This window comes from Homo sapiens, chromosome 7 (assembly GCF_000001405.40).
Source record: "Homo sapiens chromosome 7, GRCh38.p14 Primary Assembly".
Taxonomy (NCBI): domain Eukaryota; kingdom Metazoa; phylum Chordata; class Mammalia; order Primates; family Hominidae; genus Homo; species Homo sapiens.
The window spans coordinates 150425722-150449249 of NC_000007.14; the positions used below are offsets into that span (position 1 = coordinate 150425722).

Below are 23528 nucleotides of genomic sequence, written 5' to 3' on the forward strand. Positions count from 1 at the left end.
GCCACTGTGGTAGGCTACATGGTCAGTGCTGTGGATGGGTGAAACCAGAGGGTTAAAATTCCTTGAATTTGACAAAGTCATACACATTAACTTGTGTGTGTCTGTGTGTGTGTTTGAGATGGGGTTTGTCCTTGTTGCCCAGGCTGGACTGCAGTGATGCAATCTTGGCTCACTGCGACCTCCAACACCCGGGCTCAAGTGATCCTCCCACCTCAGCCTCCTGAGTAGCTGAGATGACAGGCGTGTGCCACCACGACCAGCTAATTCCTTCCTTCCTTCCTTCTTTCCTTCCTTCCTTCCTTCTTGCCTTCCTTCCTCCCTCCCTCCCTCCCTCCCTCCCCCTCTCTCTCTCTTTCTTTTTTATTGTAGAGACGGGGTTTCAACATGTTGCCCAGGCTGGTCTGGCACTCCTGGACTCAAGTGATCGGCCTGCCTTGGTCTCCCCTCAAAACATTTGTTTTTTTGTATTGAGTAAAGGCTCTTCAGTTGTTAGTTGTATAGCATTTAAGTTTGAGGTATTTGAAAATGGATGAAATAGAAAATCAAGCAGTATTTCTCTCAAATGCAATGAGCCAATATTTTTTTCACATTCTCCAACATATAGATGCAGAGATGAGGCTAAAGAACATGGAGAGCCTTTCCCATCTGGTAGCAATATATATATATATATATATATATATATGTTTTTGAGATGGAGTCTGGCTCTGTCACCCAGGCTGGAGTGCAGTGGCATGATCTCAACTCACTGCAGGCTTCACCTCCCAGGTTCAAGCGATTCTCCTGCCTCAGCCTCTTGAGTAGCTGGGACTACAGGTGCTCGCCATCATGCCCAGCTATTTTTTTTTTTTTTTGTATTTTTAGTAGAGACAGCATTTCACCATGTTGGCCGGCCTGGTCTTGAACTCCTGACCTAGGTGGTCCGCCCACCTCGGCCTCCCCAAGTGCTGGGATTACAGGCATGAGCCACCTCGCCTGGCCTCGTAGCAACATGAATTGAAGGTAAGTGATTAATTTTGGCCACATCCATTCAATGGGAAGGCAGGGAACCTCTTTTTGGGAAAAATAAACCTGCTTAATGTTTTCCAGAAAAATAGTTTATAGTATCTTGCCAAGAGCACAATCATTGCCAGTCGTACCCGGAGGCACAGAGGTTGTGAAAGGTGCCAATGTCATCTGTTTTGTATAACCTTGAATACCTTATGTGTGAAATGACTTTGTGTGTTTAAATGTGTAGGGCTTTTTGATATGGGGTTATTCTTCATGTATTCTGCATATTATGATATGTTTGGTGAATCCCAATCTTATAAAAGAGAAAGGAAAATCAGCACTGCTGGTAGCACTTGAAATTCAATAGGTGTAGAGATTATTATTATTAACAAAGTGACTAAAATAGGAGGACTCAATTTGGAAAATTTGAGACGTGAAGCCTTACTGGTTAAAAAGAAATCAATAGATAAAAGGTCATTAATTTAGTACTTTCATTTTTGTATTTTTTGAAAAAGAGGCCCCCCAAGTTCTATAAGCTTCAAGCTCCATAAATCCTGGATCTACCCCTGGTGACGGCTCGGCCCCTTCACTTGCTGGGAGGGGAAGGTAGTTTTATCAATAGAACATTCCCTTTGCCACATTGAATGCCACTTGATTGTCTCCCCAAGGACAGACCCTTCTCCTCAATTTCAAGGGCTCCGTGTGTGTGTGGGGGGGGCGTGGGGGGGAATTATGCAGTCATTGTCCCCTGTGTCTCATTCTAAAGCAGCAGGGGCTTGAGCACAGGCACGGGTGTCTCTGAAATAGTTGTGCGCTGGGGCCTCCTCCTGCCCCGTCAGGGAGAACGTGGTGGTGGTGGGGGGAGGAGCCATTATGGTGGTAATGTGTGTGTGTGTGTGTGTGTGTGTGTGTGTGTGTGTGTGTGTGTGTGTGTATGGCTCACACCGACCCCTGACTTTGCAGTGTCTGCCTAAAGTACTCGGCATTTTCGGTGACTCCTCATGTTGCTGATTTGTTCCCTGGGGGCTGCACCCTCTGCCTTTCCCAACCACGGTGTCTCTCTGCCCTTGCTGCCAGGTGTGTGGGCCCACTCTGCCCTTCACTGGGTAAATCCTCTTAGTGGGAGGCCACACCTGAGGCAGGAAGGGCTCTCAGCCCTGCAGCATGGGCTACGTCAGTGCCCAGCAGGGCTCCCAGCTCTCACCACCTGGCTGCCTATCAGGTGCCCTGACGCTGCAGCTGCACGCTCTTGATGCTTATGGGGCCAATTTTCCATCCTCCATCCACCACAACTTACGTATCCCGCTGTCCCATGTCCCTGTAGGGCTAATGAGAACTTCTCCAGGCCAAGCAGTGGCAAAGTGGTGCCAACAGCTCCATGCGTATTGGGGCTCCCACGTCACGTGAGGGTGCTGAGGGCCTCAAACGCCTTTCACCAGAGGCCTGACTAGTGCGGCAGGTCAGGAAACAAGAAGAGACTTTAGAAGAGGGAGGCCTTGCCTTGTGTTCCTCAGAACCGGGACACTTGGTCCTCACCGGGGTGAGGCTGGGCAGAGTGCACCCTCCAGCCGCCTGTACCTCCACAGCCCTGCAGGCCGAGAGATGCAAGATAAACTGTGGATGGCACCCACTTTGGAGTCAGGAGGCCTGAGACTCTCCCCCAGCTGGTTCCTTCACGACCTTGGGGAAGTCACTTCCTTTCTGGGGGCTACAGTTTCTTCACTGAAGAATGAGGAGGTTAGATGGGAAGTCACTACTTCCAAAGATTTGTTTTTTTTTTAATGAAAGTAAAATCTTATTTTTTCAAAATATCACTAGGAAGACCCATGGATCACCCCAGGAGTGTTCCAGCTACAGCATGGGATGGGTCTCCCTCTCCCCAGCAACCTTGTCTGCTGGGCCCACCCCTTAGGTGTCCGGGGGCCCCCACTAGAACCTGCAGAAAACATTTGGAACCCACTGGACTTGCTTGCAGGTCCCGTAGAGTCCCACCCTCTAGGATTCTCTAAGGAATTCACAGGTACCCCCTCCGACCCCCAACCACACTCTCCACAGACACATGCACAGAAACGTAAGCACTGCCCACAGCTGTGTGCACACACAGGGACTTTCAGAGGCATGATTCAGAAGCCACACTGGGCAAAGTGCCCTCCTGCTGTTTGTGTTCACTCACGCAGCCCTTGGCCGCCTTCTTCCTGTCTTCTTTATTTGCTGCTGTCACTCCCACCTCCTGTGGAGTAGACCAGATGGCCGCATCTGCCCAAGGAAGTGTCTACAGAGGAAATGGCAAAGTGCATTCCAGCCAAGGTAGAAATCACTGGCAGGCAAGCTCTCAGGGCCAAGGCACTGGGGCTTTGGAGTCCTGGCCTGGGTCCCTACCCAAACCCTTGTCCCCTCAGATACATCCCTAGACCCCTTCCTGAGCAACCTGGAAAGAACCCGCAGACCCATTTTCTGCACATTCCTCAGCCCCACAGGGAGAGGAAAATGCTCCACCTCCTCCAGTTGCTGCCCAGGCTGCCGGCTACGAGGGGCTGTGGCTTCCACATTCCCTTCTCCAGTGCAGCCAGGCTTGACCTTTCAGAAAATCCTTGACGATGGGAAGGACTCCCAAGGATGGCATAGAATAGCCAGGCCCAGCCCCTGGACCTGCATAAAGCAATTGTTTGGAGGCAGAGAGTCGGATGCCTGGTGAATGGGGGGCTGGTACTCAATATAGTCAGAGAAGGCAGTGTCCTTACTCAGCTGCTCTCAGAGCGAAGGCACTTGCCCTCTGCAGGCTGCCCCAGAAGCCAAAGGAAAGCAACTGGAAGCTAAAGGGAAGGTTTGGGGACTTTAATAGCTGATATAGTTTGGATATTTGTCCCTGCCCAAATCTCATGTTGAATGAAATGTAATCTGCAGTGTTAGAAGTGCCTGGTGGGAGGTGTTTGGGCCATGGGGGCAGATCTCTCATGAATGGCTTGGGCCATCCTCCTGGTGATGAGTGAGCTCTTGCTCTGAGTTCACATGAGATCTGGTCATTTAAAAGTGTGTGGCACCTTCTACCTCACCAACCCCCCACCTCTCCCTCTTTCTCTCTCTGTCTCATGCTGAAGGAGACATGGAACAGTGAGATTCTCCCTTGGAGCCTCCAGAAGGAACCTGCCCTGTGGACACCTTGATTTTAGCCCTGTAGGTTCATTTCAGACTCTGGACTTCCAGAACGCTAAGAGAGTAAGTCTGTGTTGTTCAAGCCACTTTTTGTGGTGGTTTATTATGCAGCAATGGAGAACAAATACACCCGGCATGTCCTGGGACAAAGCCTGGGGACGGCGGGGGGACTGAGCTGGACGCCCATACCCCAAAGCACGAAGGGAAGAGACCAGCAGCTAACACTCGAAGAGGCCGACTAGTTCTCAAAAGGGAGAAGAGGTATGGCCTGAAAGCCAAGGAGCAAGGGAGATGCTAACTCTAACCGCATTATTTTTTTGGAGACAGGGTCTCCCTTGGTCACCCAGGCTGGAGTGCAGTGGTGCAATCATGGCTCACTGCAGCCTCGACCTCCTGGGCTCAAGCGATCCTCCTGCTTCAGCCTCCAGAGCAGCTGGGACCACAGGTGTGCACCACCACGCCCTGCCCCCTAACCCCATTTTCTGTCCCTGGGGTACATGGGGTGTGAGATAATAAACAGTCCCCACTGGAGAGAGATTATTTAATCCTCATCCTACTCCACAAGACCATTATCGTTACGATCTTCCTTCTATAGATCAGGAACCTGAAGTACTTGGGGGTGGAGGTCACTTGCTCAAGTTCAGGCAGTTAGGAAGGGCAAAGCAGAGGTTTGAACCGTGCCTGCACCTGTGAAGTTTGGAAACCATCATCGCATTCCCCCAGGGGAATAGTCTAGGATCTGAGTTCCAGCTTCTCCATCTGAGGCAGCGGTCCCCAGGCGCTGGCAGCAACGTGCAGCTGCTGGGGTACGAGGCAGCTGCCTGCAGAGACCGTGCCTTCCCCTTGGTGCAGATGCAGTGGGCAGCCTGCACTTTGCTGCTCCTGTGTCCGACTCCTTGGGGTTCTGTTCTGGAGACAGAGCTCAGTGGACTCACAAGACGGTCACTTTCTTCTGTTGAGTCCCTGAGTTTATTTGATGAAATCCAGAACTGAAGTTCCTGGAATAAGTCATCTTACCACCAGTGTTTTGAATTAACGAACTCAAATGTCATCTCCTCCCACACAAACATTTCTCTTTAGACATACAAGGATGAAGATGAAGAGAAAAAGCCAGGCCATATGCTGGGCTGTGGTGCGGATTACATTCTGTGTCCGGGGTGCTTGTTCGAATGTCCTACTTGGACGAGCTATTTGTGGGGCATAAGCAGAGAACCCAGACACAGATGACTTGGGAGGGGGCTCAGGATGCTTCAGTTTCCCCAGACACTCCTGGCTGTGCCATTGCTCTGCCCACTGGGAACAGTTTATATGATTCTCAGATAAGAACCACATCAGCAGAGAAGCCAAAAAGGAGATACGACCCTTGTTTCATCGTCCCTTGGTTCCAATTTCCTCAGGGGATTGGGCTACTCTAAACTTTTCTTGAAGTGAACAAGTCTTGAGATACATTTTTTTTTTTTTGAGATGGGGGTCTCACTCTGTTACCCAGACTGGAGTGCAGTGGTGCAAACACAGCTCACTGCAACCTCAACCTCCTGGGCTCAAGTGATCCTCCCACCTCAGCCTCCCGAGTAGCTGGGACTACAGGCATGCACCACTACACCGAGCTAAGTTTTTATTTTTTGTAGAGATGGAGTCTTGCTATTATGCCCAGGCTGGTCTGGAACTCTGGAGTTAAGTGATTTTCCTGCCTTGGCCTCTCAAAGAGTTGGAATTACAGGCATGAGCCACTGTGCTGGGTTATGAATATTTTTTTAAATGACGTGCATTCCAAAACAGTTTCACAGGGCTATAAGGAAAAGAAGAAAATTAGGCAACTATTTTGTATACTGCTTATAAAAAATACCGTTGATTTTCTTTCCTAGGTGTAATTAGCTTTTGAGTGGGAAAGCTTGTATTCCCACTTTGAATATTCTATTCAAAGTCGAGGACAGTCAAGTACCTCACATTCTAGAGAGAACATCAACAGTCCTCTTGGCAGTTATTGAAAAGGGACAGACCAACTCTGTCACCCCACTCTCCCTTCATCGGCCCACACTCAATACCAACACCAGTCTGGAGTGCATACTTGGAAGACTTGAAGGGGGAAAAGGAGTGAGAAGGAGGGGCTGTTGGAACCTTGAGCTGTGGGGAAGAGAGGCTTTGCTTAGGTGCTGGGGAGACTCCAGCTCCCACTTCAGCCCTGTGTCTGGGCCTGCTCCATGGTGGTGCTGAGGCCCTTCTGTGCCTGTGAAGCTGGACTATGAGAATTTTGTCTTTCTTGTGACTCCCTTTTCCACAGATCTTGGAGTTCAACAGGACACACAAGTCCTAGAACATTTAAAAACATAAGTAAATCCCCCTCCTTCTCCCACCTGGAGAACTTAGAATCGTCATGCCAACTTCTGGAGGCAATGGTCTTCAGATCCGCTTGGCTGTGGCCAAACTACAGGGTGTCATGGAGAAACACAGTCTGGTGGGAGGGGGCAGATGATGAAAGCAGAAGACAGGAAAGACAAAGACTTCTTGGTGTTATCTTCCATGGTGAGTGTGCAGTTTCCATATTCTCCAGCTATGAACTTGAACTCAATGGGAGAAATCTCCCAGTAAGATGTTATGTGGGTGGTGGCCGAGTAGGGGTGGGTTGGTCGCTGTGAACTGTCTGAGACTCTCCTGTCTTAACATTGGAGAAATGGAGACTTGAAGAGGTGAAGCAAATTTCCCTAGATGACTTGGGAACGTTGGGTTGTGGGGAGTTGGGTTTGAACTTGGACATTCAGTTTTGAATCCACGTGCTTACAGAGGGGTAGAGAAGGCTCTAGGGCATGAGAGTCAATTACTCAGCAGAGAAGGGAAAGGGAGAAGATTTCACACATTCCTGCCCTTCTGAGTTGATTTCAATCCTATCTGAGTAATAGACATCATTATGGTTAATATTTGTCTCTGATTGGTCGTCTTTGTTTTGACTCCCCCTGAATTAAGGATTCAAGGGCAAGTAGTTTATTTGAGAGTGGATCCCGAGAAACCCTGGTGGGGGAGTGGGAAAGTGAGAAAGAGAGGAGGCCACTGGAGGATGACTGGTAAGTTCATTTCCACTTTGGGCCACTGAGCTTGATCCTGCTGGGGAACCCTGGCAGGTACGTCTCAGATGCCAACCATGGAGCAAGAACACAGGGGTGTTCTTTCCATCTGGCCTTGGTGGCAGCATCTCCCAGGGGCACTGTGTCCCTGGTGCTCTGGTCTGTGGAGAGTCATAGGTGCTCTTGTTAAGCATCTGTGTGCACGGAGAGGAGAGTGCTTGGGAGGGATAGGGGGTGGCATCAAGGGCATCTGCAAACCTCAGGCAGCTGGAGGATGGCCAGGTGGCTGCCTCTCTGTAGCTCGTGTCCTGAAGTGTCTTTCTGTGCCCACTTATTTGTGCTCGACCTTGGGCTGCAAGTTTGTTGATAGTTACAGGGGGTGGCTCCAGCCACCGTGTTGGGTGTCTCACCCTGTCCAACCCCTGATCTTTATTGTGGACCAGGCTATAGACAGATCTTTGTCAGCTGCCCCTGTGAGTCTTCTGTGCAGACACCTTCCTGTGGAAGAGTTGGTCTCTGGTCACTGTTTCAAGTCTCTGCTGCGGCCACAGCTTTCTTATCTCTCACTTTGGGGATCTCAGGAAATGAGACACCAGGAGGTGTCTGCTGTACAAAATCCTATTTGCTCAAGGAACCTGCATATCTCAGCTCATGTTTCTTAATCATTTTTCTGATTCTAAAAAGTCGATGACAAAACTTCGATAGAAACACAGTTCTAGCATTTGGGATTGGAGGAAGAAGTGTATTCAGCATTCTACCTTCTTCCTGATTCTGTGAGCTTAGACCTGCTTCCACTTTCAATCTCTCTCATTGCAGGCTGAAGAGGACTGGCCTTTCAGTGGCCCTCGTGGAACGGTAGGAAGCTGAGCTGGACTCTCTGCCACATCGTTCGGTTCCCACAACAGCCTGGTAGGTCGGGGTAGTCACTTCCATTTGGGAGATGAGGAAGTCGAAGGAGAGAGCTAGAGTGAGCCAGAACTTAGGGCTGATCACAAATTGGATGAGTAATTGAGATAACTAGGATGGCCCCTAGCTAAGGCTGCAGGCAATGCCCCAAGGAGACTGTCACCTTTTTGTTACAATTTTCCAGGGTGTGATAGGACTTAGGAGGATGGTGTGTCTGTCCCTAGGACTGTAGGTTGTTCTAGAGAAAAACAAAATTTTAAGGACTTTTTCTTTGTGCATATGCCTCAGGTAGGCATCATGTGGGCCTAGGCAATAGGACCTAGGAAGGAGACTCCCCTGTTCCCAGGCCTGCCGCTCCTACTCAGGAGGCTGAAGGGTCCCCACCCCAACTAACCACAGAGTCAGACACATTCTTCCTAACACACCTTCCTCCCGACCTCCCAGCTTCCCTCTTTGTCACTGAAGTCATAGACTTTTTTTTTTGAAGAATTATCAACCTAAATAACAAACAGAAGCGATTCTCCAAAGATGATGAATTTATTTGGAAATGAGCAGCATGATTGTGATGCGGAGTGCCCGTGCCACAGCAGCCATGGGCGCATCCAGGAGGCTGAGGCAAGGGGAAGCTTTTAAGGGCACAAGGAAGACTGGGTGTGGTGACTCACGCCTATAATCCCAGCACTTTGGGAGGCTGAGTCGGGTGGATCACTTGAGGTCCGGAGTTCAAGACCAGCATGATAAACATGGTGAAACCCCATTTCTACTGAAAATACAAAATTAGCTGGGCATGATGGCACATGCCTGTAATCCCAGCTACCTGGGAGGCTGAGGCAGGAGAATCGCTTGAACTTGGGAGGCAGAGGTTGCAATGAGTCAAGATCGTACCATTGCACTCTAGCCTCGGCAATAAGAGCGAAACTTGGTCTCAAAAAAATAAAGGCAAAAGGAGGAGTGCACAGGAGTTGTTGAGTTGTTTTTGAACAAAGAGAACATTGGTTACTTGGGCACAGGAGTTGAGGTCAGATTCTTAGTGGAGATGGCATGTGAGGTGAGAGTGCTCCAACATGTGGCCGGCCGTCCAGTGACTCCTGTGGCAGGCTGCAGTTGGGAAGGCCCTTGGAAATAGTCCTTATTACAGGCATATGTGTGTCACAGCCTTCAGAGAGTCTTTGTAATAGTCCTTTTTTTTCCTTTTCTTTTTAGAAATGGGGTCTTGCCTTGTTGCCCAGGCTGGAGTGCAGCAACGTGATCATAGTTTACTGTAGCCTGGGCTCAACTCCTGGGCTCCAGTGATCCTCCCGCCTCAGCCTCACAAGTAGCTGGGACCATAGGTGTGAGCCACTGTGTTTGGCTGTAATCGTTGTTATTGTAGGCGCATGTGCATGAGGACCCTCCCTTCTTAGGCTCCTGACTCTACTTTGCTTGGGTTTGAAACAAGTGACTCCATCTTGAAATGGACAACTGGCACAGAATAGAGCATTTCAAGGGCAGATTAGATGGCAACTTAAAAAAAAGGTAAAGAAAAATTAAAGAAAAAATTAAAGGTAAGGAAAAATTTACACTTTCTAGGAACTTCACGAAGGAAGGGAAACATGAGACAAAGAAAGAGAAGTGGTTATCAGAAACTAAACTGCACGAGGCTTGTGAGGTTTCTCATGTTCCTCCTGGAACTTCCTCCTAGACTGTATTCTGCCATCTGCTCTGGGGTCACGAGGGAAAGGGCCCCTCTCCTTTCATGGCCTAGAAAGCGTGGCTCTGAGCCATTCTTTGGGCTGAGGTGGGTGTCTGGGGTGCTGGTGGGGACAGCCAGGCCCTGCCTTCCTGGGTACCTCTTGCTGCTTGTCAACAGACCCTGCCCTCCATACTGTGAGGGATTGAAGGATTAACTCCAATTCTTTCCTGTCCTCCATTCATACCCATGCCATTGCTCATCTTGGGCGGACTGTATTTCCCTGCCCATTGAGTTTCGGTTTGGTCTTGTGACTTGCTTTGGCCACTAGAATGGGGCAAAGTGAGAGGGTTCCCGTTCTCAGCCTGCCCCTTGTAAGACCCTGCAGGCTTCTGCTGGCCTCCTGGGTTTCTGCCCTTGCCTGGGGGCTTTCCCTGGGTGGTTTCGGTTCCTTCTACTTGGTACCTGAAATGAAGACATGTGGGACAAAGCCACTCCAGCTGACCTAGAGATCAACAAGATGAAGCCAGTAGACCCACAGATGACTGAGAAATGTGTTTATTGCTGTATCTGTGCCATGTCGATTTTTGTGGTTGTTTGCTGTATGTCACTATTTTGGCAATAGCTATATATTCCCTTTTCCTTCTTCTCTGTGCTCTGGTCTGAATTAATGCCTCTTTGTTTCATCTCATTTCCCATTGCTTTTCACTTTATTATAAAAGCACTGCAATTTATACATTGAAGCAGAAAAGAAGGGTGGAATCCCCATAATTCCATACCCTTCTGTGAATACACTGGTGTCCAGACTGTTGGAATATATTCATTTATTCTCTCTTCATATGTACATTTAAAAGATGAATCAATTCTTTTTTTTTTAAAAGCAAATTGTTTCATTTAACAATACATGGTAAATATACTTGGTGTTAGTGCTGTCTTCAGGGTTCCGTGGAGCGTTTTACAGTCTTCTTTTTAGCACCCTCCTAAAGATGTTGAAGGAGGTGGGTGATGGGGTTGCCTGACTCCTTCACCAGGAGCATCCTCACATCCATCTCTTTCACACATTGGGGTTTCACATGCGCGTTTATTTGCAAAACAGGGCTCTGCTACAAAAATCACCAGTTGAAAATCACCAATCTAAAAACTGCTTTTTATGTGTTTTAATGATATACCATGCAACATTATTATAACCAATCCCTTATTTGAAAATTTAGGTTGTTTTGGGTTTTATAATTAAAATCACATGCTTATGGCATATATTTGTGTATACTCTTAATTATTTCCTTACAATAAATTATTAGAAGTGGACATATAATTTCTATAAGTGTAGGTATAAAATCCTGGCAGTAGAATTTCTAAAAGTGGAAAGCATATGTTCATGTAAAGGCTGCTAAATTGCCAAAATACCCTCCCAAAACCTTATCAGTTACTCTTCCACTGGCAGTGATGCCAGGTAGAACCTCTGACTGTTTGGCAAATGAATGTTTGTATCTTGTGGCTTTAAATTACTGTTCTTTACTAATTAAATGAGGCTATTTCTTCATATAGTTATTACCATTTGCATATCTTGTCTTGTGAATTTTTTGTTTATGTGCTTTGAGCATTTTTTTTGACTAGGATGTCATCTTTTTCTCATTGATTTATAATACCACTTATATATGCTATGTTAGAAAGAATGCTGGATTATAATTTGATGTATTAAGATGGTCTGGCTGGCATTACAGATTAGTAGAGAGTAGAGGATGAAATATCCAATAAGCAGTGCTAGGACAACTAATTATTTATATGAAAAAATAAAATTTTATATATATAATTTTTTAAATTATAAATTTTATAATTATAAATTATAAAAATAAGAACACTCTGTTGCTCAGGCTGGAGTGCAGTGGTGCGGTCTTGGCTCACTGCAACCTCCACCTCCCAGGTTCAAGTGATTCTCCCGGCTCAGCCTCTCGAGTAGCTGGTAGGTGAGCCCCACCATGCCCCCACTAATTTTTTGTATAGAGATGGGGTTTCACCCTGTTGGCCAGGCTGATCTCGAACTCCTGACCTCAAGTGATTCACCCACCTCGGCCTCCCAAAGTGCTTGGATTACAGGCGTGAGCCTCCGGGCCGGTCATAAAATTACATTTTTATCTCACTCTATTCACAAAAAATTCCACTGTGAAAAAAAATAAAGCTTCCAGAAGAAATATGAGGAAGATTTTCCAGTTTTTAAGGTACACAAAAAAAGCACAAATCATAAGAGAAAATATTGATAATTTTGACCAGATCAAAGTTCTGTATAATAGAAGACATTATAAACTACATCAAAATACAAGCCACAGACTTTGAAAAGACACCTGCAAAGCATAAAATAGTGAATTATTAGTACAGATGCTCCTTGATTTACGAAGGGATTATGTCCTGATAAATTCATTGTAAGTTGAAAATATAAATGGAAAAGGCATTTAATATATCTAACCTATGGAACATCATAGCTTAGCCTAGCCTACCTTAAACATGCTCAGAACAACCACCCGAGCCTATAGTTGGGCAATAGTCATCTAACACAAAGCCTATTTTATAATAAAGTATTGAAAAATCTCATGGAATTTATGAAATACTGTGGAGCGTTATGAGAAAGTATTGTACTGCGTATTGCTAGTCTGGAAAAAGATCAAAATTCAAAATGCAAAGTACAGTTTCTACTAAATGCATATCGCTCTCTACTATTGTAAAGTTGAACAATTGTAAGTCAAACAATCCTAAGTGTAAGTCAGGGACTATTTGTACATAGAACATAGAAAAATGGATGTGGTGTCTCACACCTATAATCCCAGCACTCTGGGAGGCCGAGGTGGGAGGACTGCTTGAGCTCAGGAGTTTGAGATCAGCCTGGGCAACATGGCGAAAGCCCATCTTACAAAAAAATACAAAAATTAGCTGAGCATGGTGGTGCAAGCCTGTAGTCACAGCTACCTGGGAGATTGAGTTGAGAGGATCACCTGAGCCCAAGAGGCCGAGGCTGCAAAGATCCGAGATTGCACTACTGCACACTAGCCTGGGCAACAGAATGAGATCTTGTCTCAAAAATAAAAAAGAAGAACATATAAAAATGTGGAACATAAAATATAGGATATAAGAAACATACAGCATATCAAATGCCTATAACTTAATAAGGAATGTGCAGACAACCCAATAAAAAATTGGGCAAAGGATATGAACAGGCAAGACACAGAAGACATTTAAACATTTAAAGCATGCTCAGCCTCACAGCTAATCAAACAATCTGATACCATCTCACACCCACCAGTCTGGCAATAAAGTCTGATAATACCAGCTATTGGTGAAGATGTAGAGAAATGATAACTATCAACCACTGTCAAACACAAATGTAAGTTTTTATAAACAGGACAGCAATGTGATGATATCCAGTGAATTTAAAAATGTGCATTCCCTAGGACAAAGAAATTTAACTTTACAGTATAGACTCCAGGGGAGCTCTCATCTGTATTTGTGTTAATTGTAACCTTATTTGTAGTAGGAAAAATTGGAAGCAGCCTGTAGGTTCATCACTGGAAGGGTATATAAAGGGCTACAGCTGTATCTGAAATATTTTCACTTAAAAAATCTGGAGCAAAAATGACAAACTGCTTAGACTTAATGAGCTGGGTGTTGAGTACACGGGTTATTTTCCATGCTTGTTCACACACTGTGCAATACCTTGTTTTAAAAAGATGATATTGTATTAGGAACCCAGGAATACCCTGATCCAGCTCCAGACCACAGTCAATCCTCCTTATTTTGTCTAGGCTGACCCTGGGGCTGGAATCTGTGGCACCTTCAAAAAGAGTGATGTGGAGGGTAGAAAGAAGCGTCACCTGTGGCAGGAATTGCAGAGCAGTAAGGAAAATGGGCATAGGGAAATCTCATTTGTTTTATGACAGTTTTGAGATATAATTCACATGCCACAAAATTCAACCATTTAAAGTGTACAAGTCAATAGTTTTTAGTATATTCACAGATATGTGCAACCCAGCACCACAGTCAGCCTCATAACATTTCTATCGCCTTGTATAGAAACTCTGTACTTTAAGGATCACTCTTCATCCTCCCATCTCCTCCCAGCTCTAAGCAACCACTCATCTACTTTCTGTCTCTATAGGTTTGACTAATCTGAACATTTGAAGTAAGTGGAATCATATAATAGGTGGCCTAATGTTTTCAAGGTTCATCCATGTTGGATCATGTATCAGTACTTCATCCCTTTTTAGGGCCAAATAATATCCTCTTGTATGGAAATACTGCATTTTGTTTATCCATTTATCAGTTGACGTTGAGTTGTTTCCACTTTTTGCCTATTATAAATAATGCTGCTACAAACATGCATGTACTACTTTTTGAGTAGACATGTTTTCCTTTTTTGGGTAAATACGTAGGAATGTCATTGCTGGATCATTTGATTATGTTTCACCATATGAGGAACTGCTAGACTGTTTTCCAAAGTGACTGCACAATTTTACATTCCCACCAGTGATGTATGAAGATTCCAATTTCTCCACATTCTCACCTCTTCCACATTCTCCTGATCCTCACTCTCTTGTTATCTGACTTTCTGATTACAGCCATGCTTGTGGGTATGAAGTCGTGTTCTCTTTTGGTTTTGATTTGCATTTCCTTTATGACTAATGATGTTACACATCTTTTCATGTGCTTCTTGGCTATTTGTGGGACTTCTTTGGAGAAATGACTATCCATATCATTTTCCCATTTTAAAAAATTGGGTAATTTGTCTTTTTATTATTGAGTCATAACATTTCTTTATATAGTCTAGAGACAAGTTCCTTATGAGATATGTGATTTTCAAATGTTTCTCTCATTCCGTGGTTTGTATTTTCACTTTTTAAGTAGTGTCTTTTGAAGTACAAAAGTTCTGATTTTGATAAAGCCCAATTTATCTATTTTTTCTTTTGTTGCTCATGCTTTTGATGTCATATCTAAGAACCTATTGTCAAATCCAATCATGAAGATTTGCGACCATGTTTTCTAAAAGTTGTATAGTTTTAGCTCTTATGTTTAGGTCTTTGATCCATCTTGAGTTAATTTTTGTATATGGTGTGAAGCGAGAGTTCAATGTCATTATTTTATATGTGGCTATCCCATTATCTCAGTATGATTTGTTGAAAAGACTACGTTTTTCCCCCATTGAATGGTTTTGGCACTCTTGTTGAAAATTAATTGACCATATATGTGAGGGTTTATTTCTGGACTCTTAGCTCTATTTTATTGATTTATATGTTTATCCCTATCTCAGTATCACACTATCTAGATTACTGCTGCTTTGTAGTAAGTTTGGCAATCAGGAAGTATGAATCCTCCAGTTTGTTCTTTTGTCAGAGTATTTTGGCTAGTCTAGGTCCCTTGAATTTTTATATGAATTTTAGAATTAGCTTGTTAACTTCTACAAAGAAGCCACCTGGGATTCTAATAGGGCTTTCTTGAATGTATAGATCAATTTTGGGAGTATTGCCATATTAACAATCTTAAGTTTTTTGATCCGTGAATATGGTATATTTTTCATTTATGTAGACCTTTAATTCTTTCAACTACGTTTTATAGTCTTTAAAGTATAAATTTTAAACTTTTATTAAATTTATTTCTCTTGTTCTTTTTGGTGCTATTATAAATGGAATTGTTTCAACTTTATTTTCAGATTGTGCATTGTTTTGAGATATAATTGGTTCTGTATATTGACCTTGTATCCTGTAAGCTCGATGAAATTACTTATTAATTCTAATAGTTTTATTTAGTAGATTCCTTAGGATTTTCTGTGTAGAAAATTTCTATGTAATTTGTGAATAGAGATAGTTTTATTTCTTCCTTTCAAATATGGATGCCTTTTTTGTGTGTGTGCTTAATTGCCCTGGCTAGAATGTCTACTTAATGCTGAATAGATGTGGCAAGAACAGCCATCCTTGGCTTGTGTCTAATCTTGAGGGAAAGCATCCAATCTTTGACTATTAAGTATAATTTTATCTGTGTGTTTTTTGGTAGATTCCTTGTATCAAATTGAGGAAGTCTCCTTCCATTCCTAGTTTATGAAGTGTTTCATTACAAAAAAGCATTAGATTTTGTCAAATATTTGTTCTGTATCTGTTGAGATGGTTATGTGTGTGTATGTGTGTGTTCTTAAAAGTCTTTTGATATGGTGTAGTACATTAATTGATTTTCAGATGTTAAACCAACCTTGCATTCCTGGGATAATTCCCACTTTTTCATGGTGTATAATTCTTTTTCTATATTTATGGATTTGGTATGCTAGCATTTTGTTGAGGACTTTTGCATCCACACATCTATATTCATAAGAGATATTTGTTGTTCCCTTCCCTTCCCCTTCTCCTTCTCCTTCTGCTTCCTCTTCCCCTTCCCCTTACCCCTTGCAGGTCTTCAGGAGTGCCTTTCACCAGTCCTTAGTCCTGGCCCACTGGCCTCTTGGGTCTGCCTTTCTTTTCAGCTTCCACAGGGAGCTTGGGGTGTGGGAATCTGCGCTGAGGCCCCTGTGCTGCCTGCCCAGGATCCCTGGGGAGCCACTTCTCTCAGGGGTCTCCCAGCACCTTTGCTGTGCTGCTGGGAAGTGGGATGCGGCCCCTTCTCTCAGGGCTTCCTGGCCTGCCTCTCACTTGCCTTTCTCATTCCATCAAGTATGTGGGTAGCAGGAAGGGGAAACTCTGGGGCCTGAGGGTACCCCCTACCTTCATCTTCCTGGCCATGTGTGTTCTCACATCCCCTCCTCTGGCCATCTCTCTGAGGCTGATGCTGTTGGAAACAAGGTCAAGGCGCCTCTCAGGCCTTTTCTTCTTCTGATTCTATCCCTCTCTTCCGGCAAAGAGCAGGAGCCTGCTAGTGCCTACATGGGAGGGCAGGGCCACCAGGGCGACAGTGTTGTGTGTGCGGGTGGAAGCACAGGGAGCTATCTATTGTGATGAACCCCAGCAAGGAGGGAGGAATGTGGCTACGAGCGATGCCTGGATTGCTGCTTGATTTTTCTAACACTTTCCTACTTCTCGCCTGCAGATGAAGCAGCAGCAGAAAAAATGGAAGCCATTTTGGTTAACGGGTCACATCTTAGCAGTTGGCAGCGTAAGAAGCGGAAGGATCCACTGGTCAGAAATGGAGATTGAGGAGAAGCTGAGAGCACGGAGGGCTTCAGGGGAGAGCCTGTCCTTTGGAAAAGCGGGCAATTTGCACTCGTGGTAGATGAGTGGGGAGGCCGCTCAGTCTCTCTGCCCCTTTGCACATGCTGCACCCGTTTAGTTTGACGTCGTGGAGAGCTCCTCCAGGCACGGGCTGTGTGAAAGGGTTTAAAAGTTTGGGGGCATGGCTGGGGGTCCCCGCATGAGGGGTGCTGTGTAGGCTCCCATCTTTTCTGCCGGTCATGCTGGGAGCCAACAGCACCGGCTCCTGACGTGGGGACTTGCCCTGTGCCATGACGTGGGGACTCGCCCTGTGCCCTGCGCCCCGGTTCCTGCTGGTTCTGTGCCTTCTGGACTCATTTCCTTTCCAGGGTCCGCAACCGCTTCCGACACAATCACTATTTTGGCTGCGGCCACGGCTTCATTCGCTTCAGCTGCGAGCTTTTCTCAGCGCAGAGAGCACAGGGAAGCTGGGAGGAGTCCGCCTAGATGGGTAAGGACGGTATTTTTGGCAGCAGTTCCGGGGACCCTCCCCTGATCAGCCTGCACTTCCGCCCTGGGTTGAGGGGAGCATTTCCAGCGAGGGGGCGAAGAGGTGAGAGCAGCTGGGGAGAGCCAGGGGCTGAGGGCCCTTTGCTTTCTGAAGTGTGGCGTCATCACGGGTGCTGAAGGAGACACAGGGTGGCTGCGTGATCAGTCTCTGCCCTGGAATCTCTGTGTTCAGCCCATGTCATCTTCTCAGGAGTGATGGAAGCTCCCACTGGAGAACACTTTCTGGTCTTGAGCCCCCCGATCTCTTGATCCCTATGGCAGTGAGCCCCGACTCTTGCTCTGGTCGCCACTGGATCATCTGTGGGTGTTGGCAGGAACCTGAAGGTGTTGGAAGGGGTTGAGGGTAACGCATAGCCTGTGCTAGAATATGTGGGGGAATGTCCACAGGAGACGGGATGGAAGAGAGAGAAGAGGACGCCCCTGCTTCCAGGGGCAAGTGGGTACAACCAGAGGACGGGACAATGTTCCCCTGGAGAATGGCCCAGGCTCCATCTAGACCTGGCTGGTCCCAGTCCCAGGCTTGTCCTAGGTCCTTGGCATCCGTGCTGGTAGCAACCCCAGGGCCACCCTCAGCGTCTCATGACGTCTACCCTTCTCTGGCCCCTGTAGAAATTATGTTCAAGAGAAAACACCCGGGGGGTCACAATGATAACAATAACACCACCACCTGTGCCCCGTGGGTGTGAGGCTGTCATGGAGAAAGCAGAGCTCCTGAAGGGGCCTCAGCTGAGAAACGGCTAGAATTTCCTGTGTGGGTTGTGGGGAGTGACTATGGAATTCAGAGGCAGAGCGGAATCTACTTGGGCTGTTGTGGCAGGAACCTAGACTCCAGAGGGACCCTGGTTAGGCTCTCAGAGAAGGGAGCCCCGGAAAGTGAGCCAAGGAACGGGCCTTTGTCCCCAAGGCTGGAGCCACAGGCTCTGTTTCCCTGGCCAGAGGCAAGGGGGGCCCTTTGGGGTCTCATGGTTCAGGTGGCCTCTTCTTTCTTAGGCCTCTTCCTCCAGATCCCCACTCCCCCCACGGGGCACAGCCCCATGTGTGGAGTCGGCCTTGACTCTGCCCTTCAGTCTCCCTGCCCAGAGCCGGCTGCACCGGCTGTCATTCCCCAGTCCCGCTTCCCGCAGGCCCCTACCCAGATACTGATGCTGTGGCACCCACCACCACATGGGGGACCCTGGGCAAAGCGTTAGTGCTTGACAGACATTGGGTCCTCCGGTCCCCCTCCAGTGCCATGAGCTAACAGTTGTATCCCCATCACACAGATGACAAAACTGGGAGGCAGCACGGTTCATGAGCTTGTGCAAGTTCACACAGGGCGTGATTGACGGGGCTGGGATTCAGATGCAGTTAGGACACTGCCTTATCTCAGGCTCTGCTGCTCCCCAGACTTCTTGGCCCTGACGCTCCTTTCGAGGTTATGGAACTCTCTTGAATGTCTCTGTTGGCTGCAGCCAGCCAATTAATTACCCTGCATGAATGGGGACTATGGGTGACAGTTTCCGCTGTCCCAAGTTCTGGCTGAAGTCTCCATTCTATTGGGTTAGGGGCCAGATGCCTGAGGACCTGCAGGAGGCCAGGGCTGCATGCTGAATGAGAACTTTACCTGGGCCACCAAGTCCTTCTGAGCACAGGTGCTGCTCCCTGCAGTCAGGACATGCTGGCCGGGGTCTCTGACCTTCACCTGGAATGCTCCTGGAAGCCCCTGTGTGACAATCTCCACCACAGTCAGCTGCAGCCTCACAGGCCTTGTGTCATTTCCCACTATAGGACCAGGGAACCAGGCTGACCAGAAGACCTACGAGGAGAAATAGAAAGCTTGGGAGGTTGAAGTGGAAAGCCAGGTGTCCATTTCTCTGCCTGCAGAATGAGTCCCCAGGGAGCCCAGCGGCCAGGGCAAGGTGTCAGGGGCCCCGTCACAGCTGCGGGAAGGCCACATGGGGGGCAGCTGTGGGCATGGGGCCAGAGCCCAGGAAGCTGTGGCTCTGGGGGAGGGTTTGTGCCCCTGGGATGTCTGAATGCAGCTCTGGGGTGGGGCCAGCCTGGGCCTGGAGCTCCTGCAGGCTGGTCTAGTGCCAGGCCCGGGGGAAGGCAGAGTCAGAGACTGGGGGACTTTGCTTCTGCTCACTGTGTCTCCAGTGTCAGGAGCTGGCTCAGGACTCGTGAATGTCCACATCAGAAGAGGGGCTTAAGCCATGAGGATTGAGGCTTCCCTCCAGACCTGAGTGGGTGGGGAGGGGAGAGGGTGAGGGCAATGGCCACACCTGCTCCATCCACTCCCTGGAATAAAGGAGTGGTGTTTTTTTCATTCCTCACTCACTCATTCTTCCATCCCTGGTGTGCCAGGCCCCGTTTTGGTGCTGGAATAGAGTCATAAGCAAGACAGACATAGTCCCCACCTTCAGAAAGCTTTTGTTTGGTGCAATGGTGTGGAAATGCATCTTGAATATTACAGAGGAACAATTTGGAGTGGAGCTCAAGTCATTCCAGAAACTCCCACTTTTTAAAAATTTTATTTTATTTTGTATTTTTACATACATTTTTTGAGACAAGGTCTTGCTCTGTTACCCAGTCTGGAGTGCAGTGGTGCAATCATAGCTCACTACAGCCTATACCTCCTGGGTTCAAGTGATCCTCCCATCTCAGCCTCCCAGGTAGCTGGGACCACAGGTGCATATCACCAAGCTCAGCTAATTTTAAAACTTTTTTTGCAAAGATGGAGTCTCTCTATGTTTCCCAGGCTGGTCTTGAAATCCTGGCCTCAGGGGATCTTCCCTTCTTGGCCTCCAAAAGTGTTGGGATTACAGGTGTGAGCCAACACATCCAGCTGTCCCCACTTAAAATTTTTTTTTTTTTTTTTTTTTTGAGACAGAGTCTCACTCTGCTGCCCAGGCTGGAGTACAGTGGTGTGATCTTGGCTCACTGCAACCTCCACCTCCTGGGTTCAGGTGATTCTCCTGCCTCAGCTACCCGAGTACCTGGGACTACAGGAGTGCCCCATTAAGCCAGGCTAATTTTCTATTTTTAGTAGAGACGGGGTTTCACCATGTTGACCAGGCTGGTCTTGAACTACTGACATCAAGTGATCCACCTGCCTTGGCTTCCCAAAGTGCTGGGATTACAGGGGTGAGCCACCGCACCCGACCCTCACTTTTTATAGGTGAAAAAATATGGAGAATTTGGGGAAATCCCAGGAAGAAGAATGAGTAGTGAGGTGCTGGGAAAACCCTGGGATCATATGAAGTTGCTGTGGAATTTTACAGGAATTGCCCCTCCCTCTCTGTTTGGGTGATCCTTCTCTTTTGGTGGATTTTTTCATTTCAAAATCAGGTCTCTTGCCAGCTTTTAACTACCATTGACTCATAGTTTTTACCTTCACAAAGCTGTTTGCTACCACTATCAATCACTCAGAGTTTAAGAACTTTCTATTTCCACTCCTGATTATTGTCTGTGGGCCTCTTATGACTGCCTGTATCTCTCTAGAATCTTCCAGAAGCAACATGACTCTTTTAGGCCTTTGCTGCCAGCTAAGAAGGTGAAGAAAAGTCACCACTGCAATAAAAAGAGGGCACTTTGTCTTACTTGGCAATAAACCACCACCAGCAGCAGCAGCAATAGCAGCACCCCCACCCCCACCAAACCCAAAACAAACAAGAAAAGCAAAAGGAAACCTGTAAGCAAAGCCCAGGGGAGCTGTGTTGAATGTAGGTCCAGAGTGGGGTTGAGGGCTGCAGCTGGGCACAGGGTGCCTGCGCTCCAGCAAGAGTGCAGGCTGGAAGAAAGTCATTCTTTATCATCTCATTGGCCCTTGGATGGTGTCGAGAAGATTTAGAAATATTTTTATCCTCTTTATTTTTAGTCGTTTTCAGTGAGAGGATTGGCATGAAGAATCCTTGGGACACAGGAATCAATCAAGACCTTTGGATGCCCCTGCCTGCTCTGTCTCTAGAAGCCTCAAGCCCAGCATCCCCATGCCGACGTGCTCATCTCTAGCAAAACACCAGCCTCTCAGCCCTCTCTCCATAAAGGCCACTAGAAAGTACTGTGATGCCAGGCTGCTCCACATCCAGGCAGCCTGGGTGACCACTGCCCTTTATGAGAATCAGAAAAAGCTGTCTCCCGAGTAGTTGGAATTACAGGTGCATGCCACCATGCCTGGCTAATTTTTGTATTTTTAGTAGAGATGGAGTTTCACTATGTTGGCCAGGCTGCTCTTGAACTCCTGACCTCAAATGATCCACCCGACTCGGCCTCCCAAAGAGCTGGAATTACAGGAGAAGCTAAACGTTTTAAAATAAGTATATTATTTCTGAATTACTATAACAGACATGGACTCCATTTGAACAAGATACTTAATTCCATCAAAAACTTGTCAAAATATACAAATTTAGTCACAAGACACTTTACTACCATCTACCAAAGCTGTAGTAAACACACACATTTTCCATCTTTGAAATGAAATAACGTATAATAATGTTTTCCAAAATAACAAAGATGTCTGCAGTGAATAGCACTCCCTTTGATGTGGCAACTGGGTCAATCGTGTTAACAACTGTGAATTCATCTTTTTAAGAAATTCTTTTATTGTTTCTTTTCTTTTCCGCGACAGTCTCACTCGTGTTGCCCCGGCTGGAGTGCAGTGGCGCTATCTTGGCTCACTGCAGCCTCCGCCTCCCGGGTTCAAGCAATTCTCATGCCTCAGCCTCCTGAGTAGCTGGGATTATAGGCACGTGCCACCACACCCAGCTAATTTTTTTGTATTTTTAGTAGAGACGGGGTTTGACCATGTTGGTCAGGGTGGTCTCGAATTCCTGACCTCAGTTGAGCCGCCGGCCTCGGCCTCCCAGGAAGTGCTGGGATTACAGGCATGAGCCACCAGGCCCGGCCTTATTGTTTCTATTTGTAATAAATCTGTTCCCCTTGCTGCTGTCTCTGCGTTAGTTCTCCTCATTTCTAGCTTGGGTGCTGCAGCAGCCTCTGACCGGTCCTTCTGTCTCCAGCCTGACTGCGTTTTCTCGCACCTGCTGGGCTGTCTTAGGGCCCCGATGCCGGTGGCGTTTGCCATTCTCCGTCTGCCTGAGGCGTCCTCCCTCCGTCATCTGACAGGCAAATGTTACAGCCCTTCAAGACTTAGGCATTACCTTTCCCGCGCGGCCTTCCCTTCACTGTGCCTTACAATCTTCTCCATGGCAGGACATAGTGAAACTCCGTCTCTACCACTCCGTCAGTACCTGCCACAGGAAATGGCGGGTTTACGGATTTGTTTATAAGTTTATTTCCCCAATTGGTTGTTTTTCCATCTTGCGGGGTTTACATCGTCTCCTCCTCACTTGCGTGGCAGCCTGGACGCATCTCTATCACAGCACATTACCTCGTTTCGTGACCACAGCGTAGTCTCTTCCCCATCCTCAGACTGAGTTAGGGCCCCTTTGAGTCAGGTATTTGCCTTGCTAATCTTTGTGCCCTCTGTGTCTAATACGGTGCTTGGTCCTGGTAGATTTCTCCTTGCTTGCATAACATGTGTCTTCCTGGCTTATTCGATTTCTGGAAGTCTAGAACTTCTCCCCAGTGTTTCACCTGCCTGCTGAGTCAGGGCTCTCGGCCCGCTGGGGAGCATTTTGCTGCACTTGTCATTAGCCACAAAGCCACTAGGGGGCAGGGAGCCCCCATCCTGCCTCAGATCGGTGCCAAACCAGAACCCGGCAGCCTGCCTTCTGCACGGAAATCAATTCTCTAGGAGCTGATTTGCTGAAAGATCATTTTGCAAAATGGTCAACTCAGCAAATAATCGACTTGCTGAATCTTTGAGGAGTTATTTGCAGCTTCAGTTTTACTTAGAGCAATCCCTGGATGCTTAATATTTCATTTAAGAATGAGTGAGCCTTTTCTTCTCTATTTTGGGGAAACAGTTTCTTGCTGAGCCTCTGCCTCTGTTAGTACCCCAGCGGGGATGAACTGCAGTACCTGGCTTCGGGTTTTTGTCTTTTCATTATAATGAGTTGGTTTTATGTGCGTTGACCTACTGTAAAGGAA

At 46.9% G+C, this 23528-nt stretch overlaps 1 long non-coding RNA gene across 1 annotated transcript, besides 4 other annotated features; it reads left to right on the top strand.

The window, feature by feature from the left end:
* Positions 3105–3274: an enhancer, noted in NCBI's record as "active region_26829". NCBI's record gives its function as "activates an Ori minimal core promoter by ATAC-STARR-seq in GM12878 lymphoblastoid cells {active_cell/tissue: GM12878}" and the evidence as "EXISTENCE:reporter gene assay evidence [ECO:0000049][PMID:35858748]".
* On the top strand, positions 7933–22419 carry LINC00996 (long intergenic non-protein coding RNA 996). The gene is made up of 4 exons (NR_034033.1): positions 7933–8108; positions 16828–17439; positions 20979–21168; positions 21355–22419. It is a non-coding gene; the product is annotated as a long intergenic non-protein coding RNA 996 (long non-coding RNA).
* Positions 8074–8173: an enhancer, noted in NCBI's record as "active region_26830". NCBI's record gives its function as "activates an Ori minimal core promoter by ATAC-STARR-seq in GM12878 lymphoblastoid cells {active_cell/tissue: GM12878}" and the evidence as "EXISTENCE:reporter gene assay evidence [ECO:0000049][PMID:35858748]".
* Positions 9825–10044: an enhancer, noted in NCBI's record as "active region_26831". NCBI's record gives its function as "activates an Ori minimal core promoter by ATAC-STARR-seq in GM12878 lymphoblastoid cells {active_cell/tissue: GM12878}" and the evidence as "EXISTENCE:reporter gene assay evidence [ECO:0000049][PMID:35858748]".
* Positions 10265–10364: an enhancer, noted in NCBI's record as "active region_26832". NCBI's record gives its function as "activates an Ori minimal core promoter by ATAC-STARR-seq in GM12878 lymphoblastoid cells {active_cell/tissue: GM12878}" and the evidence as "EXISTENCE:reporter gene assay evidence [ECO:0000049][PMID:35858748]".
* Positions 22420–23528: the final 1109 nt, after the last annotated feature.